The 20686-nt window shown below is 40.2% G+C and overlaps 1 protein-coding gene across 24 annotated transcripts in view; it reads left to right on the top strand.

Moving 5' to 3' along the window:
* The window catches only part of CEP70 (centrosomal protein 70), a 99917-nt gene that overhangs the window by 67107 nt on the left and 12124 nt on the right, over positions 1-20686 (top strand). For all 24 annotated transcript variants that reach the window (NM_001288967.2, NM_001288965.2, NM_001288964.2 and 21 more), the window contains 2 exons: positions 1590-1664; positions 18610-18715. In NM_001288967.2, coding sequence (NP_001275896.1) covers positions 1590-1664; positions 18610-18715 — 181 coding nt within the window. The remainder of the gene's footprint in view (positions 1-1589; positions 1665-18609; positions 18716-20686) is intronic.

The raw sequence follows: 20686 nt of genomic DNA, 5'->3' as shown, positions 1-20686 counted from the left end.
ATCTCTTGCCCCTTTTGTAATCCCTCCTGCCCCTCTTTGCCTTTCCCTGAGACAACCACTGATTTGCTTTCAATCATTATACGTTAGTTTATATTTCCTAGACTTCTTATAAGTGGAGCTATACAATATTTACTCTTTTTTTGTCTATCGTCTTTCACTCAGCATGATTATTATCTTAAATTTTTATTTTAATTGCTAATTGACAAATTACAGCTGTATATATTTATGAGGCACAAAGTGATGTTACGATTCATGATTATAATGCAGAATAATTAAATCAAGCTAATTAACATATCCATCATCTAATACCTTTTGTGGTTGAAAACATTTGAAATTTACTCTTATTGATTTTGAAATGTATAATACATTAATATTTACTATATTAGATTCAGTCTTTTGCCAGCGGAGTTCTCATTCTCAAATTATACTGGAATGCCTTGTTATTCTTATTCCTGTGCTGTGGGATGAGAAGAAAAGTAAAATTTATAATGGCACACAACAGAAAGATATATCCAGCATAGCTACAAAAGGATGACACTCTCTATGTTGACAGTAATAAAGAATGAACATTGTTGAGCCTTTTTTCATTCAACAAATATTTGAATACCTATAGTAAGTTAGACACTGTCCCAAACTCTGGGGTGAACAAGGGACCAAAACAAATTTCCTGTTCTCAATAAGCTTATATTTAATGGCTGGGCGTGGTGGCTCACACCTGTAATCCCAGCACTTTAGGAGGCCGAAGCAGGCCTCCTGAGGTCAAGAGTTTGAGAACCAGCCTGGCCAACTTGGTGAAACCCTGTCTTTACCAAAAAAAATACAAAAATCAGCCCGGTGTGGTGGTACGCATCGGTAGTCCCAGCTATTCAAGAGGCCAAGGTGAGAGAATAGCTTGAACCTGGGAGGTGGAGGTTGCAGTAAGCTGAACTTGTGCCACTGCACTCCAGCCTAGGTGACAGTGTGAGACCCTTTCTCAAAAAAAACAAAAAACAACAAGAAAAAACTTATACCTTAATGGAGAGAAGGACCTGATACCTAGCATAAGCCATTTATATAAAATGTGAAAACCTTGAACACAATAATATGTAAATTTATGATTATATAAATATGTAGTAAAAATTTAAAAACATACATGGGAATAATGAACAATGAATTGAGGATAGTGGTTCTCTATGGTATGGGAAGGAGAAGAATGACATTAATGAGGGAATTTTAAGTATATGTATAAAGTTTGAGTTAAGATTTGAATCAAATCTGTTAATATTCAAATTTGATAAAGCTAGGTGGTGGATACACCAGGATTTGTTATAATGTTCTCTGTTTTTGTCTGTATACTTGAAATATTTCACTATAAAAACAAGTAACAGATTAGCAGCAAAAAACGACTAAAAGGCTTTGAATAAGGGATTACAGAGAAGAAGAAATCTAAATGGCCAGTAAACTCCAAATTAGCAGTCATGAAATATTTTCAGAAGCTTAATAAGTATATTTGTGACAAGTAACAAAGTTTTGTATGTCGTTAATATTTAAGTACCTTTATGCTTTTATTCAGTAAATTGAATTAATTTATCATTATTTATTTTCCACAGGCCTACGCAGCATGAATTAAGACTTTATAAACAGCAGGTGAAGAAGCTGGAAAAAGCCCTTAAGAAAAACGTCAAGTAATTATATTTTTACCAAAATTGCCTCTTTTATTAGGATTTTTTATTTTATTTATTTATTTTTATTTTTATTTTTATTTTATTATACTTTAAGGGTACATCTGCACAACGTGCAGGTTAGTTACATATGTATACATGTGCCATGTTGGTGTGCTACACCCAGTAACTCGTCATTTAACATTAGGTATATCTCCTAATGCTATCCCTCCCCACTCCCCCCACCCCATAACAGGCCCCAGTGTATGGTGTTCCCCTTCCTGTGTCCATGTGTTCTCATTGTTCAACTCCCACCTATGAGTGAGAACATGCGGTGTTTGGTTTTTTGTCCTTGCGATAGTTTGCTGAGAATGATGGTTTCCAGCTTCATCCATGTCCCTACAAAGGACATGAACTCATCATTTTTTATGGCTGCATAGTATTCCATGGTGTATATGTGCCACATTTTCTTAATCCAGTCTATCATTGTTGGACATTTGGGTTGGTTCTAAGTCTTTGCTATTGTGAATAGTGCCACAATAAACATACGTGTGCATGTGCCTTTATAGCAGCATGATTTATTATCCTTTGGGTATATACCCAGTAATGGGATGGCTGGGTCAAATGGTATTTCTAGTTCTAGAACCTTGAGGAATCACCACACTGTCTTCCACAATGGTTGAACTAGTTTACAGTTCCACCAACAGTGTAAAAGTGTTCCTATTTCTCCACATCCTCTCCAGCACCTGTTGTTTCCTGACTTTTTAATGATCGCCATTCTAACTGGTGTGAGATGGTATCTCATTGTGGTTTTGATTTGCATTTCTCTGATGGCCAGTGATGATGAGCATTTTTTCACGTGTCTTTTGGCTGCATAAATGTCTTCTTTTGAGAAGTGTCTGTTCATATCCTTTGCCCACTTGTTGATGGGGTTGTTTGGTTTTTTTCTTGTAAATTTGTTTGAGTTCATTGTAGATTCTGGATATTAGCCCTTTGTCAGATGAGTAGATTGCAAAAATTTTCTCCCATTCTGTAGGTCGCCTGTTCACTCTGTTCACTCTGATTCACTCTGTTCATTCTGTTCACTCTGATGGTAGTTTCTTTTGCTGTGCAGAAGCTCTTTAGTTTAATTAGATCCCATTTGTCAATTTTAGCTTTTGTTGCCATTGCTTTTGGTGTTTTAGACATGAAGTCCTTGCCCATGCCTATGTCCTGAATGGTATTGCCTAGGTTTTCTTCTAGGGTTTTTATGGTTTTAGGTCTAACATGTAAGTCTTTAATCCATCTTGAATTAATTTTTGTATAAGGTGTAAGGAAGGAATCCAGTTTCAGCTTTCTACATATGGCTAGCCAGTTTTCCCAGCACCATTTATTAAATAGGGAATCCTTTCCCCATTTCTTGTTTTTGTCAGGTTTGTCAAAGATCAGATGGTTGTTGATATGTGGCATTATTTCTGAGGGCTCTGTTCTGTTCCATTGTTCTATGTATCTGTTTTGGTACCAGTACCATGCTGTTTTGGTTACTGTAGCCTTGTAGTATAGTTTGAAGTCAGGTAGCATGATGCCTTCAGCTTTGTTCTTTTGGCTTAGGATTGACTTGGCAATGCGGGCTCTTTTTTGGTTCCATATGAACTTTAAAGTAGATTTTTCCAATTCTGTGAAGAAAGTCAGTGGTAGCTTGATGGGGATGGCATTGAATCTATAAATTACCTTGGGTAGTATGGCCATTTTCACGATATTGATTCTTCCTACCCATGAGCATGGAACGTTCTTCCATTTGTTTGTATCCTCTTTTATTTCATTGAGCAGTGGTTGGTAGTTCTCCTTGAAGAGGTCCTTCACGTTCCTTGTAAGTGGGATTCCTGGGTTTTTTATCTCTTTGAAGCAATTGTGAATGGGAGTTCACTCATGATTTGGCTCTCTGTTTGTCTGTTATTGGTGTATAAGAATGCTTGTGATTTTTGCACATTGATTTTGTATCCTGAGACTTTGCTGAAGTTGCCTATCAGCTTAAGGAGATTTTGGGCTGAGACAATGGGGTTTTCTAGATATACAATCATGTCATCTGCAAACAGGGACAATTTGACTTCCTCTTTTCCTAATTGAATACCCTTTATTTCCTTCTCCTGCCTGATTGCCCTGGCCAGAACTTCCAATACTATGTTGAATAGGAGTGGTGAGAGAGGGCATCCCTGTCTTGTGCCAGGTTTCAAAGGGAATGCTTCCAGTTTTTGCCCATTCAGTATGATATTGGCTGTGGGTTTGTCATAAATAGCTCTTATTATTTTGAGATATGTCCCATCAATACCTAATTTATTGAGCGATTTTAGCATGAAGGGTTGTTGAATTTTGTCAAAGGCCTTTTCTGCATCTATTGAGATAATTATATGGTTTTTGTCTTTGGTTCTGTTTATATGCCGGATTACATTTATTGATTTGTGTATGTTGAACCAGCCTTGCATCCCAGGGATAAAGCCCACTTGACTATGGTGGATAAGCTTTTTGATGTGCTGCTGGATTCCATTTGCCAGTATTTTATTGAGGATTTTTGCATCGATGTTCATCAGGGATATTGGTCTAAAATTCTCTTTTTTTGTTGTGTCTCTGTCAGGCTTTGGTATCAGGATGGTGCTGGCCTCATAAAATGAGTTAGGAAGGATTCCCTCTTTTTCTATTGATTGGAATAGTTTCAGAAGGAATGGTACCAGCTCCTCCTTGTACCTCTGGTAGAATTTGGCTGTGAATCCATCTGGTCCTGGACTTTTTTTGGTTGGTAAGCTATTAATTATTGCCTCAATTTCAGAGCCTATTATTGGTCTATTCAGAGATTCAACTTCTTCCTGGTTTAGTCTTGGGAGGGTGTATGTGTTGAGGAATTTATCCATTTCTTCTAGATTTTCTAGTTTATTTGCGTAGAGGTGTTTATAGTATTCTCCGATGGTAGTTTGTATTTCTGTGGGATCTGTGGTGATATCCCCTTTATCATTTTTTGTTGCGTCTATTTGATTCTTCTCTCTTTTCTTCTTTATTAGTCTTGCTAGTGGTCTATCAATTTTGTTGATCTTTTCAAAAAACCAGCTCCTGGATTCATTGATTTTTTTGAAGGGTTTTTTGTGTCTCTATTTCCTTCAGTTCTGCTCTGATCTTAGTTATTTCTTGCCTTTTGCTAGCTTTTGAATGTGTTTGCTCTTGCTTCTCTAGTTCTTTTTTTTTTTTTTTAATTTTTTTAGTATTTATTGATCATTCTTGGGTTTTTCTCGGAGAGGGGGATTTGGCAGGGTCATAGGACAATAGTGGAGAGAAGGTCAGCAGATAAACATGTGAACAAAGGTCTCTGGTTTTCCTAGGCAGAGGACCCTGCGGCCTTCCGCAGTGTTTGCGTCCATGGGTACTTGAAATTAGGAAGTGGTGATGACTCTTAAGGAGCATGCTGCCTTTAAGCATCTGTTTAACAAAGCACATCTTGCACCGCCCTTAATCCATTTAACCCTGAGTTGACACAGCACGTTTCAGAGAGCAAGGGGTTGGGGGTAAGGTTATAGATTAACAGCATCCCAAGGCAGAAGAATTTTTCTTAGTACAGAACAAAATGGAGTCTCCTATGTCTACTTCTTTCTACACAGACACAGTAACAATCTGATCTTTCTTTCTTTTCCCCACATTTCCCCCTTTTCTATTTGACAAAACCGCCATCGTCATCATGGCTTGTTCTCAATGAGCTGTTGGGTACACCTCCCAGACAGGGTGGCGGCCGGGCAGAAGGGCTCCTCACTTCCCAGACATGGCGGCGGGGCAGAGGGTCTCCCCACCCCCCGAGACGGGGCGGCCGGGCAGAGGCGCTCCTCAGTTCCCAGACGGGGTCGCGGCCGGGCAGAGGCACTCCTCACCTCCCAGATGGGGTGGCGGCCAGGTAGAGATGCTCCTCACCTCCCAGACAGGGCGGCCGGGCAGAGGCGCTCCTCACATCCCAGATGGGGCGGCCGGGCATAGGTGCTCCCCACATCCCAGACAATGGGCAGCCAGGCAGAGACGCTCCTCACTTCCTAGACAGGATGACGGCCTGGAAGAGGCACTCCTCACTTCCCAGACTGGGCGGCTGGGCAGAGGGGCTCCTCACATCCCAGATGATGGGCGGCCAGGCAGAGACGCTCCTCACTTCCCAGACGGGGTGGCGGCCGGGAAGAGGCACTCCTCACTTCCCAGACTGGGCGGCTGGGCAGAGGGGCTCCTCACATCCCAGACGATGGGCGGCCTGGCAGAGACGCTCCTCACTTCCTAGATGGGGTGGTGGCCGGGCAGAGGCTGCAATCTCAGCACTTTGGGAGGCCAAGGCAGGCGGCTGGGAGGTGGAGGTTGTAGCGAGCCGAGATCATGCCACTGCACTCCAGCTTGGGCAGCATTGAGCACTGAGTGAGCAAGACTCTGTCTGCAATCCCGGCACCTCGGGAGGCCGAGGCAGGCAGATCACTCGAGGTCAGGAGTTGGAGAGCAGCCCGGCCAACATGGCGAAACCCCGTCTCCACCAAAAAATACAAAAACCAGTCAGGCGTGGCAGCGCACACCTGCAATCCCAGGCACTCAGCAGGCTGAGGCAGGAGAATCAGGCAGGGAGGTTGCAGTGAGCCGAGATCGCGGCAGTACAGTCCAGCCTTGGCAACAGAGGGAGACTGTGGCCAAGTGGGAGACGGAGACGAGGGAGAGGGGGAGACCGTGAAAAGGGAGAGGGAGAGGGAGCTCTAGTTCTTTTAATTGTGATGTTAAGGTGTCAATTTTAGATCTTTCCTGCTTTCTCTTGTGGGCATTTAGTGCTATAAATTTCCCTCTACACACTGCTTTAAATGTGTCCCAGAGATTCTGGTATATTGTGTCTTTGTTCTCATTGGTTTCAAAGAACATCTTTATTTCTGCCTTCATTTTGTTATGTACCCAGTAGTCATTCAGGAGCAGGTTGTTCAGTTTCCATGTAGTTGAGTGGTTTTGAGTGAGTTTCTTAATCCTGAGTTCTAGTTTGATTGCACTGTGGTCTGAGAGACAGTTTGTTATAATTTCTATTCTTTTACATTTGCTGAGGAGTGCTTTACTTCCAACTATGTGGTCGATTTTGGAATAGGTGTGGTGTGGTGCTGAGAAGAAAGTACATTCTATTGCTTTGGGGTGGAGAGTTCTGTAGATGTCTATTAGGTCCGCTTGGTGCAGAGCTGAGTTCAATTCCTGGATATCCTTCTTAATTTTCTGTCTCGTTGATCTGTCTAATGTTGACAGTGGGGTGTTAAAGTCTCCCATTATTATTGTGTGGGAGTCTAAGTCTCTTTGTAGGTCTCTAAGGACTTGCTTTATGAATCTGGGTGCTCCTGTATTGGATGCATATATATTTAACATAGTTAGCTCTTCTTGTTGAATTGATGCCTTTACCATTATGTAATGGCCTTCTTTGTCTCTTTTGATCTTTGTTGGTTTAAAGTCTGTTTTATCAGAGACTAGGATTGCAACCCCTGCCTTTTTTTGTTTTCCATTTGCTTAGTAGATCTTCCTCCATCCCTTAATTTTGAGCCTATGTGTGTCTCTGCATGTGAGATGGGCTTCCTGAATACAGCACACTGATGGGTCTTGACTCTTTATCCAATTTGCCAGTCTGTGTCTTTTAATTGGAGCATTTAGCCCATTTACATTTAAGGTTAATATTGTTATGTGTGAATTTGATCCTGTCATTATGATGTTAGCTGGTTATTTTGCTCGTTAGTTGATGCAGTTTCTTCCTAGCCTCGACGGTCTTTATAATTTGGCATGATTTTGCAGTGGCTGGTACCGGTTGTTCCTTTCCATGTTTATTGCTTCCTTCAGGAGCTCTTGTAGGACAGGCCTGGTGGTGACAAAATCTCTCAGCATTTGCTTGTCTGTAAAGGATTTTATTTCTCCTTCACTTATGAAGCTTAGTTTGGCTGGATGTGAAATTCTGGGTTGAAAATTCTTTTCTTTAAGAATGTTGAATATTGCCCCCCACTCTCTTCTGGTTTGTAGAGTTTCTGCTGAGAGATGAGCTGTTAGTCTGATGGGCTTCCCTTTGTAGGTAACCCGACCTTTCTCTCTGGCTGCCCTTAACATTTTTTCCTTCATTTCAACTTTGATGAATCTGACAATTATGTGTCTTGGAGTTGCTCTTCTCGAGGAGTATCTTTGTGGCATTCTCTGTATTTCCTGAGTTTGAATGTTGGCCTGCCTTGCTAGATTGGGGAAGTTCTCCTGGATAATATACTGCAGAGTGTTTTCCAGCTTGGTTCCATTCTCCCCGTCACTTTCAGGTACATCAATCAGACGTAGATTTGGTCTTTTCACATAGTCCCATGTTTCTTGGAGGCTTTGTTCATTTCTTTTTATTCTTTTTTCTCTAAACTTCTCTTCTCACTTCATTTCATTCATTTGATCTTCCATCACTGATACCCTTTCTTCCAGTTGATCGAATCGGCTACTGAGGCTTGTGCATTCGTCATGTAGTTGTCGTGCCTTGGTTTTCAGCTCCATCAGGTCCTTTAAGGACTTCTCTGCATTGGTTATTCTAGTTAGTCATTCGTCTAATTTTTTTTCAAGGTTTTTAACTTCTTTGCCTTGGGTTCAAACTTCCTCCTTTAGCTCGGAGTAGTTTGATCTTCTGAAGTCTTCTTCTCTCAACTCGTCAAAGTCATTTTCCGTCCAGCTTTGTTCCATTGCTGGTGAGGAGCTGCATTGCTTTGGAGGAGGAGAGGTGCTCTGATTTTTAGAGTTTCCAGTTTTTCTGCTCTGTTTCTTCCCCATCTTTGTGGTTTTATCTACCTTTTGTCTTTGATGATGATGATGTACAGATGGGGTTTTGGTGTGGATGTCCTTCCTGTTTGTTAGTTTTCCTTCTAACAGACAGGACCCTCAGCTGCAGGTCTGTTGGAGTTCGCTGGAGGTCCACTCCAGACCCTGTTTGCCTGGGTATCAGCAGCAGAGGCTGCAGAACAGCGGATATTGGTGCACAGCAAATGTTGCTGCCCGATCATTCTTCTGGAAGTTTTGTCTCAGAGGAGTACCCGGCTGTGTGAGATGTCAGTCTGCCCCTACTGGGAGGTGCCTCCCAGTTAGGCTACTCGGGGGTCAGGGACCCACTTGAGGAGGCAGTCTGCCAGTTCTCAGATCTCCAGCTGCGAGCTGGGAGAACCACTACTCTATCCAAAGCTGTCAGACAGGGACATTTAAGTCTGCAGAGGATTCTGCTGCCTTTTGTTTGGCTATGCCCTGCCCCTAGAGCTAGAGTCTACAGAGACAGGCAGGCTTCCTTGAGCTGCGGTGGGCTCCACCCAGTTCGAGCTTCCTGGCCGCTTTGTTTACCTACTCAAGCCTCAGCAATGTCGGGCGCCCCTCCCACAGCCTCGCTGCCGCCTTGCAGTTTGATCTCAGACTTCTGTGCTAGCAAAGAGCAAGGCTCCATGGGCGTAGGACCCTCCAAGCCAGGTGCGGGATATAATCTCCTGGTGTGCTGTTTGCTAAGGGTGTTTGAAAAGTGCAGTGTTAGGGTGGGAGTGACCCGATTTTCCAGGTGCTGTCTGTCACCCCTTTCTTTGACTAGGAAAGGGAATTCCCTGACCCTTTGTGCTTCCCGGGTGAGGCGATGCCTTGCCCTGCTTCGGCTCACGCTCGGTGCGCTGCACCCACTGTCCTGCACCCACTTTCCGACACTCCCCAGTGAGATGAACCTCGTACCTCAGTTGGAAATGCAGAAATCACCCGTCTTCTGCGTTGCTCATGCAGGGAGTTGTAGACTGGAGCTGTTCCTATTTGGCCATCTTGGCTCCACCCCTATTTATTTTTATTATTTATTTATTTTTTGAGACGGAGTCTTGCTCTGTCGCCCATGCTGGAGTGCAGTGGCACAATCTCAGCTCACTGCAAGCTCTGCCTCCTGGGCTCACGCCATTCTCCTGCCTCAGCCTCCCAAGTAGCTAGGACTACAGTCACCTGCCACCACCCCTGGCTAATTTTTTTTTGTATTTTTAGTAGAGACGGGGTTTCACTGTGTTAGCCACTGTGTGGATCTCCTGACCTCGTGATCCACCCGCCTCTGCCTCCCAAAGTGCTGGGATTACAGGCATGAGTCACCGCGCTTGGCCTTATTTTATTTATTTTTATTACATGTCAGCTTATGCTACCTACTAGTGGCTTTGGCTTGGACCTACCAGGCTGATGGGGAAAATGACATTAAAAGGGGGTGTTTCTGGTTTCACAGTTTAAGAGCAATTTCTACCATGCTGGATTTGGCTATATATTTAAGTGAGAACAAAAAAGGTAGTTGCCTAAAGTAATAAAGGACAAAGATTTTAAATAGAAAATTATCTTGGGAAGTAATGGAAGAATTGCAAGAGAATCAATGAAATTAGAAGTGACAAGCCTCCAATTTTTGCTGTTGATAATTATGATCTGAATGTTTTAAAGTGAGCGTTATCACACTTTAAAAGTACCAGAAGGAATGCAGTGAGCCATTTATATCTACTGCTTGTACCCTTCCTGACTTTGAAAAGCAAGTGCTCAGTGTTTCAAAGAGTTGATCTCAGTGATTGTGTTTTCTGAAGATTATCTATGTGTACTCTTTGATTCAAGGGAATGGGATTTGAGAAAGTGGGGAGTGTTGGGATGACATATTTTGAAAGCTATGAGTTAATATATGCATTAAATATATTAAGTCAGTTGTATTAGCATATATGATTCAGTTTTCAGCGACAGCTCTGTTTCCTCCTTCCTATGGCAACACATAACACAGTGACAGGCAAGTATCATGAGTATCCAGGAATTACATACTGGGTTAAAATAATAGGGGCCAGGTGCAGTGGCTCACGCCTGTAATCCCAGCACTTTGGGAGACTGAGGCAGGAGGATTGCTTGAGTCCAGGAGTTTGAGACCAGACTGGGCAATGTAGTGAGTCCTTGTCTCTACAAAGAATTTAAAAATTAGCCAGGTGTGGCGGTACTTACCTGTAGCCCCAGTTACTTAGGAGGCTGAGGTGGGAAGATTGCTTGAGCCCAGGAGGTCAAGGCTGCAGTGAGCTGTGATCACACCACTGCACTCCAGCCTGGGCAACAGAGCAAGACCCTGTCCCTCCACCCCCCGTCCCCCCAAAAAAAAGATAATAGAGGAGGAAAACTAAACAAGAAAAGAGAAGTGGAAGGTTCAGAAAGGATGCATGCATATTCAATGAATAATTATTCCCTTCCTACTATTCCTTGATATTTTGTGTACTTACAGTTCTTCTTACATCTGTTTGGCATTCTAGGCACTGGTTGCAGTGGTAAACAAAATAGAAAAGGTCCCTGACCTCATAGAGATTACATGAAGGGAGAAAGATAATGAAAAAATAAGACAATTTCGATATGCTATAAGTACTAAACGTACAATCGTGGGAGAGTAGCCATTATATGAGTTTGGAGAAGAGATGGTAGTGACATGGTCAAAGGTGGCAGTAGTGGAGGTGATGAGAAGTATTTGGAATTGGAGAATGGAGGTAGAACTAATAGGACTTCATGATGGGTTGAATATAGGGAGTTGTGGGGGAAAAGGAAGAGTCAGAAGTCTCCCGAGTTTTAACCTTGAATAACAAGGTGGTTGTCAGTGCCACTAATGAGATAGGAGATTGAGAGAGAAGCAACTAGGAGAAGGAGGATGTAGGGAAGTAAAAAGAGAAGGCAATAATGAGAATTGACTGTTGACTCTAAAGCAAGTGTATAACATGCACACACACACGTACACATGTGTATGCACTTACACATACGTAGAGATAGATAGTCTTCATTATTAATAGATTCCATATTTATGAATTTGTCTACCTGCTAAAATTTATTTATAATCACAAATCCATACAGCACCTGTAGTCATTCATGGACATGTACACAGTGGCAAATAATTTGGGTCACCCAACACACACATGTTTAGTTTTCAAACAAGATGATGATCTGCCCTGTTGTTTGAGCTCTCATACTATAAACAAATGTCCTTTTGTCCATCTATTTAGTGATACTTTTTTTTTTTTTTTTTTTTTGCATTTCTATGCCTTTTGTTGGTGATTTCTTTAAGATGGCCTCTGAGTTAGTGCTGAAGTGCTGTTTGGTGTTCTTATCCACAAGAAGGCTATAATATGCCTTGTGGAAAAAATACACCTATTAGATAAGCTTTATCAGGTATGAGTTATAGAGTGCTGTTGTCCATGAGTTCAATGTTAATGAATCAAAAAAATATATATTTTAAAGGTGTCTTTAAATAGAAACATACAGACAACAAGGTTATATATTGATCATTTAAGGAAAATGTGACCAGACTTGCAGGACCCTGACCCTGTATTTCCTCTAGGAGCAGTGGTTCAGTATTTGCTAATTCAGCATTCATAGTGATTTTATAGAACATAACTACCATGAATAATGAGAATTGATTGCATATATATATTGTTCTTGTTGTTGTTTATTTGGGCTCCGGTCTTTCGAGTGACTTTTATTATTGTCCTTTAAAATTATGATTCAGACCCAATTCCTGCTATATTTTTCTGCTAAATTTTGAAGAAATGATGTGTTTTTGTTTTTAATAAAGTTTAAAACTTTGGTAGTATCTAGACATGGAAACAAATTTGGGAGTGTTATATAACTTGCCCAAGTTATACAGGTTACTGGTATATGGAAGAACTGAACAGAAATCAGATCCTTACCCAATCATTCTGACTCCAAAACTTATACTCTTAGCTACCATACAGTTAGAACTAAACAAAACACTCAATGAAAAAAATTTTTTCAAGGTAAAACTTAAAAAAATTTTACTTTGCAAGGTAAAACTTAACAAAACTTAAAAAAGATTTTAAAAACTTAAACTTAAAAAATTTAAAATTAAAGAAACTTTAAAAACTTAAAAAAATTTACTTTTCAAGGTAAAACTTTAAAAATTTTTATTTCTGTAGTGCCAGAGGTAGAATATTTTTTCAAAGTACTACTGATGCTGGGGAAATAATTAAAACTAAAATCTCCTGTCAATCCAGTGAATTCTCTTTACAAACGTAGGAAAAAAAAGAAACAGTTTTATTACTGAATTCAATCAGATTCAATCAGATTGTGATGCACATTACAGGCAATCTGTTAGAGATATTGCAAAGACAGAAAGAAATGTCACCCTTTTGTATAGCAAGGCAGATACAATCCATTATATACATGTTAATTATCTGTATTAAAGGAAAAATAAAAACTTCTAATGTCTTTTTGATAAGTAAGAGGTTACAACTTGGGGCCAGGAGCCTTGACGAAATTCCAACAGAGACAGGGAAACAAGGTACCATCTTCCGAGATGTTCACATTTCAAAGAAATGATTCCAAAGCCCCCAAGAAAGACATTGCTGAGATTCAAAACTGGCAAGAGCCTTCTTTAGCTCTTAATAAGATTTATGTACATCTTAAAGAGAGTAAAGGATTTGTAGTTACAGATTTTCTAAAGGAAATGCTACAAGAAAATGGAAGAGGGTATAGTCTCTTTTCCTTTTGGAACCAGAGAAAATTGAGTTTGTTTGTTTTTTTTTTTTAGATTTGTAGTTAACCAACTTTCAATGTCAAATAAGGCTATTAACAATTTAATGTGGGAGAACATGGACTCTTCTTGAGTTAGTATTACAAACAGGCTGATTATAAAATTTCCTTCTTAGGAAGTGATTAAATAAGTCTGTCCCTATAAGATAAACAAAGGTACTACACTAATTTCATTTAATTTTTCAATAGTATTTATGTTTTGCTAGGGGAAAAACAAAATCCTACAGCCACTCTGTGTTGAGCTGACAGTCCTTGAAGTGGTTAGGCCAATGAGTCAAAGTGAAATTAACAGTCAAACTGTTAACTTACTGCTATAGGATAAACAAGAGGCCAAAATGAAAAGGGCTGACTCTTCAGTGTTGCATTTTTCCCTATGGAATAGCACCAGGTGAGGAACAGTCTGACATACACCCAGATGGGGGGAATCATCTCACTGCCTAGGAGCCCTGCACAAAAGATTCCTGCTATTTTAAAGTGTAGGGAGAAGAAAGGCTAGGAGTAGAAAAGTACTGAGTCAGAGTGGAGAAAAGTATTTTAATTAAGGCTTCTCCACCAATAAGAAGATCTTGGATAGAGGTACTTGACACATGCCTCAGTCTAAGCTCCAAGTAAAGAGGCCCCTAATGCAGGTGACTAGGGTAGGAATGCAGAAATGCTTGTGGCAAGGCACTAGAATAACAGTAGTAGTAGTAGTATAGCTTTCAGGAAGGAAAGGAGGTGGCGTGTCCTTGACTGCAACTGTCTCGAGAGATTGCAGTGCACAGGCTGTGCATCATGTCTGGTGTGGAGAGGACAGCTTTCCCTGCAAGAGATCTTCCAGGCAGAGCCTTTGTAATTACCTGTGGCTGTGCCTGAAATATAACACATTGGATTTTAGCCAGGAGCTGGACTTTTCACCTAGAGAAACACTTGCCTTCAGAGTTTGGCACTGGTGCTGGGTTGAAGTGAACCACCCTTCTTTTCATCACTAACTATCTTAGAAAGTCCTAAGATTGTAGGGTAAAAGACTCGGGGAACAGTATAGCTTTGAGAAGCTCACATTGATGCACCTATGTGTTTTGCATGTAGCTAAATTAGTGGAATTTTTAAAAACAAAATTGGCAGTCCTTTTTTTTAACTTGTTCCTGATCTCCAGCATGGATCTTATTCCACTGTGAGATCATGGAAAAGCTCCAACAGAACACAGTTAAAAGCTATAAAGTTTCTGCACATGGAAAGTTATCTTATGGAGATGGCTATACAAAATAGATAAAACAGCATATTTTAAGTTGGAGGTACAGTTTTCTGTTTTCTCAGTGTCCACAAAAAAACATAGTTGCTGCTGTTGAATACATGGAATGAGTGTCTGCAAAGCATGTGAAGTACCCCTTAGGCACTCCTAGGGGATTTTTATTATCTTTCAGGCCCTTCCTGACTGCTCTGGATACTGTAGAACAGCTCTAGCGTATTTCTGAGTACAGTCCAGGCAGCTACAACACAGGTTTCTAAAATGCCAATTAAGTCATGTAAATAGAAAATGAGGGGATCATCAGCAATATAACATAGAAGTTATATTGTTCATGTGTGGTTTTTCCTAGACTCAAGGCACTAGAATAACTGCAGTAATATTTATAGCCTTCAGGAAAGGGGCAAGCTTTGCTAGTACATAGACAAGTGCCCTTTTTAGCTCTAGTTTAAGAAAATTTAGAATGAGCAGCAGTACCCTGGGCTCCTTCCCTGACCCCCAGCATTAGACAGACTATAGGCTGGAAGCAAGTTGCACTTCCTCCTTTGCCCATTTTAACCTCAGCTTCTTTGGCCCAAGGCTCCACTTCAGTCTTTATGTCTTGGCATCCATAAGCCAACATTTCTTCTTTGTTGTCTGTGCATTTTTAATATATCCTGAGGCAATCTCCAGACATGCTTGATCTGTCCAACTTAACTCCTGAGGCACCAATTATTGTTTTTATTCTCCAGTTCTAAAGCTACATCAGTTGTAAGTAGTCTGGTTTCTAATACTATTTTCTCCTGAGCCCTGTTAATTACTTGCATGATTTTGCAGAATGTGAAGTTTTTCAGTAATACTGTTAATGGCAGATATTTTCTGTGAGACTAAGTGAACCAGTTTCCTATGAGTCCCCAGCTTTTACTAATCATTGTCTTATATAAATAGAAAAACAATGGGACTAAATGAGTGAATACATGTAAAGTGCTTAGAATTCCTGCATAGAGAAGGCTCTCAGTACCTACTAGTTATCATCATTAGGCTCCCAATAAGTTGTAGTTACTGTCATTATTAAGTGAGGGTATCTATTTATTCATCTGGTTAATGAAATCACATTTCATTTCCCAGAGTAACTGATCAGTACATGCAATTATATATTTAGGTTATTGCACTGACAGTAAAAATGTTGTATATCTACAGTGTAACATTTATTAATCAGATTTGCAAACAATTCATTGATAAGTTGAACATTTTCACCTAAGTGAAAGGAAGTAACATTTAAATTCAGATATATCAGTTTACGTCTAGTCCTTCTAGAGGCCATATCAGCTTTTCTGTGTCCTTTTTTGTTCTAGATAATATGCTCATGGCACTGCCTTTAGGCAAAACTGTGAAGAATGTGAATGTAGTAAATAGGAAGTCATTTATAATTTGGCTTGGGCATATACTCACTAGAAAGCAGAGAATAGCAACTGAGTGAATATAAGGGGAATATATGTGACTGGTGTAGGTAATTGTAGGGAAGTAGTAGAATCAAGTAAGAAAGGAGTCAGGAGAAATACTGTGTTAGGACTGGGGGGGCACGGTGGCTCACTCCTGTAATCCCAGCATTTTGGGAGGCCAAGGCGGGCGGATCACAAGGTCAGGAGTTTGAGACCAGCCTGGCCAACATGGTAAAACACCGTTTCTACTAAAAATAAAAACAACAACAACAACAAAAACTGGGCATGGTGGCATGTGCCTATAATCCCAGCTACTTGGGAGGCTGAGGCAGGAGAATTGTTTGAACCCGGGAGGCAGAGGTTGCAGTGAGCTGAGATCGTGCCATTGCACTCCAGCCTGGGCAACAGGGCGAGACTCCGTCTCAAAAAAAAAAAAAAAAAAAAAAGATGGAAAAAGCATTAAATTTGTGGGTGGAAGACATGGACAGAAATGTGTTCCAATTGATGGCAACTGGGTTTGGTTCTGAGGTCTCAGGTATCTACTGGGGATCCTGGAACAATGTATCCCCCACTGACAAGGGGGGACTACTGTAGTCTCGTAATAATCCTTCAAATTACCCCTCTTCAATTTGAGTATGCCATCAGTTTCCTGCTGGGACTTCAACCCACTAAACTGACTCTATGACTCATTAACGATGCGCTCTGCCTGCTGTTTGTAAAATAGAATAGTAAAACTCCATCATGTCATTTTCCTGTTGAAAAACAATCAATGATTTCTCATTTTTTTATGTGCTAAATCTAATATCCTTGGGCTAGCATTCAAAACTCTCCATGCCATTAGTCCTAACACAGTATTTCTTTTTTTTTTTGGAGATGGAGTCTCACTCTGTCACCCAGGCTAGAGTGCAGTGGCACGATCTCACCTCACTGCAACCCCTGCCTCCCAGGTTCAGGCGATTCTTTTGCCTCAGCCTCCCGAGTAGCTGGGACTACAGGCATGCGCCACCATATCCAGCTAAGTTTTGTATTTGTTTTTCTTTTTTTTTTTTTTAGTAGACAGGGAGTTTCACCATGTTGCCCAGGCTGGTCTCAATCTCCTGACCTCAGGTGATCCTGAGGTCATCTTAACTAAGCATGTATCACACACTGTGGCTGTAACTTTTGCAGTTTGAGGTCCAACAGCAAAACTAGCCCAGATTTCTTATTCCTTCTTCACAATTTCACAGATAGAATATTCGTTCTCACTGTATATCTTAGCAACCTCAGCATACACTTTTTTTCTTAAGTGGAGAACTTTCACCTTTTCACTTAAAGGACACACTTCATGACTTCTCTTTGGCACATCAAAATTGCTAACATGACTACTCTTGCATTTTGGGTCCATTATTAAGTTAAAGAAGGATTGTTACTTGAACATAAGCACTGTGGTACCCAACAGTTGATCTGATAATCAAGATGGCTACTAAGTGACTAACTGGTAGGTAGTGTATGTATACAGTTACAGCATGGATAAGCTGGACAAAGGGATGAATCACATCCTAGGTGGGATGGAGTGGGACAGCATGAGATTTCATCACACTACTCAGACTAGTGAGCATTAAAAAAAAATAAAATAAAAAAACTTATTTATTACTGGAATTTTCCTTTTAATATTTTTGGACCCTGGTTTACCTTGCATAACTAAAACCATGGAAAATGAAACTACGGATCAGCGTGTACTACTGTACTGTTTTCAAAGCCATGAGGAGGGAGAAGAAAGATTACTACAGCCTGTCTTCTAGATATTTGGAGAAGGACAAGTGTTTACTACTAGGTGGATACACTTATACATAGTTGTATTTCTGGGTGAAGAGACTCTCCTTTCCCCTAGCATTCTAGTAGCCACCTGGAATAATGGTCTGTTGGATCTCCACGCCCTCTTGACTGGCCCAGGCATTGCCATTTTCTGTTCTTTGCCACTGGTAGAATACAAAGAGAGAGGGACCAAACGTCTAGCTGTTCCTGCTACAGTACCCAAACCAGTGGCCCTTCCCATGCTTCCTGCTCCCTTTATCTGTAGTCTGTGATCTTGGAGCACGTTGGATGGAAGTCGCTTCCATCCTTTGTTGTATTTCTCTCTTGTGCTGTCTTTTGTGGGTGCTGGGGGGTGGTTAGAACTTTCTTCTTCAATCTGATCTCTTCTGTCTTCAGAGATTCCTTCTAATTTGCGATTTATTGAGAGGGCCTTCTAGTTTTCCAGTGACAATATGATTTAAAAAATTTTAAACTCTGGCCGGGCACGGTGGCTCACGCCTGTAATCCCAACACTTTGGGAGGCTGAGGTGGGTGGATCACGAGGTCAGGAGATCGAGACCATCCTGGTTAACACGGTGAAACCCCGTCTCTACTAAAAATATAAAAAATTAGCCAGGCATGGTGGCGGGCGCCTGTAGTCCCAGCTACTCAGGAGGCTGAGGCAGGAGAATGGTGTGAACCCGGGAGACGGAGCTTGCAGTGAGCCGAGATTGCGCCACTGCACTCCAGCCTGGGTGATAGAGCGAGATTCTGTCTCAAAAAAAAAAAAAAATTTTTTTTAACTCTATATATGCATATATGTATGTGTTTATACATACACATACATACATGTGTGCACACACACATATAAGTAAAGTGATATAAGGCTGTTGGGAGGGTGGCTGGATCATTGACTTAGTTTATCATCTTGGTCCAGTGTCTAGGAAGTAATTTTGTATTATCTTGATTTTTTTCCCCCTTTTAGATTACAGGAGCTTATTAATCATAAGAAGGCTGAGGACACAGAGAAGAAAGATGAGCCCAGCAAATATAATCAGCAACAGGCCCTAATTGACCAGAGATACTTTCAGGTATTGAATTGATTTTTCATGACAAAAAGACTGATGTTTGTCATGAATCTTGGTTATCAGTTGTGGTGTAATAAATTATCAGTTGGTAAGGAATACTTGCACCTCATATTTATGTGTACTTATTCTGTCTTGTCTTTCCGTGACATAACTATTTGACTAAAAACATTGTAGAATTCGTCTTACTACTTAAAAGAGACTCTGGCCTAGTTCAAAGGAGGTTAGTAAAGAGCTTTATGATTTTTAAAAGTTTCTATAATCCTTTTCCCTACTTTCCCCATGTAAGCCATTTTCCCTCGTATTGTTTCTGTTGTTACCATTATTATTAAGTAAATCTATTTTCTTAGGGTCCTTGTATGGCTTTTGTTTTTGTTTAGAGACCTTAGTTCATCTGAAATTTAATTTTCTATATGGTGTGATATAGGGAATCTCACCTTCCTAGTTTTATAGATCATTTATTGAATAGCTGAGCAGTTAAACCTGGTAGTTTAGTGACTGAACTGGACTTTCACTCACATTTTATTGGGTACACATAAGATTTTTAAGTTTTAGATTATTCATTTTTTTAAAAATTAAGATATTTTATTTTTTCTAGGCTGCTATTTCTAACTTCTCCTAAAAAGTCAGAAGATCTGGCAACAAATTCCTGCATGGTTATTATCACAGCAGAATTAGGCCTTTCCCTTGTCAGATATGAGCATGTGTTCTATAGTTAGCAGTCCCTATTCATCCTTACGTCACTCATTTATACTCGTACCTGAATTCTCTGGGCATTTGTGTTTGCAGTCTCTAATACGCTACTTTTTTCTCTACTTTATTGAAATAACATTTTATCATAGATCATATTCATTTATATGCACAGATTTGTTTTTAGATTCTCTAGTCTGTTGCATTTCTCAACTATTTCCATATTTTAATTTCTATAGTTAAAAGTTTTAATAGCCTTTGAGGCAAGTATCCTATCATTAAAAAAATTTTTTTTATTGGCTATATTTTTAGCACATTTATTCTTCTGGATGAACAGTTTTTCAAATTAAAAAATAAATCTCATTGAGATGAACTAAAATTGAATTGACTTTATAGATTAATATTTGGAGAAATGACACCTTAACCTTTTTGAATCATCACATTCAGAAATATGTACTTTCATCAGGGTCATCTTTTATAGTCTTCAATAAAGTGTTGTGTATTTTTAAATTTAGCTCTTGCATATTTCTTGTTAGGAAATACCTTGTTATTTCCTAGGTATTTTATAACTTTTATTGCTATTGTAAATGGGAACCAAGCACCTTTCTGAAAACTGTTTTGTTTTAGACTTTCTTGTACCAGTATATAACTGGATTTCATTTTGTTTCTGAGACTCAATTTGAGAGGCTTTGTCCTTTAAAAGGGGAATTCAAGCCGGGTATGGTGGCTCATGCCTGTAATCTTAACACTTTGGGTGACCGAGGCAGGAGGATTGCTAGAGGGCAGGAGTTTGAGACCAGCCTGGGCAATATAGTGAGACCACATCTCTAGAAAAAAAAAAATTTAATTAGCTGGGCATGGTGGCTTGTGCCTGTAGTCCTAGCACTTGAGAGGTTGACATGGGAAGATCACTTGAGCCCAGGAATTCAACGCTGCAGTGAGCTCCGTTCACACCACTGCACTCCATCTTAGGCTGCAGAGTGAGACTCTGTCAAATAAATATATAAAACAAATATACATACATCAATTTGAAGTGAAATATTGAATTATACTAATTTGGACTTAAAAAGCTTCTAAATAAACATCTGAAGTAATAAACATCTTAAGTCATATTACCAGGAGGCCTATTAGTTATATCTTGAAGTATGACCAGGGACAAAGATTCAAGAGCAAAATGCTATCTTTATATTGTGAAACTTTTTATTAAATAGGCTGAACTTGATGGTGGTAATAGGAAATGGCTTTATTCTTCTCTCTTTAAACATGCTTTTTGAGGTCTCCCTTTTT

This window comes from Homo sapiens, chromosome 3 (assembly GCF_000001405.40).
Source record: "Homo sapiens chromosome 3, GRCh38.p14 Primary Assembly".
In the NCBI taxonomy this organism is placed as follows: domain Eukaryota; kingdom Metazoa; phylum Chordata; class Mammalia; order Primates; family Hominidae; genus Homo; species Homo sapiens.
This window is presented reverse-complemented; position numbering and strand designations above follow the sequence as displayed.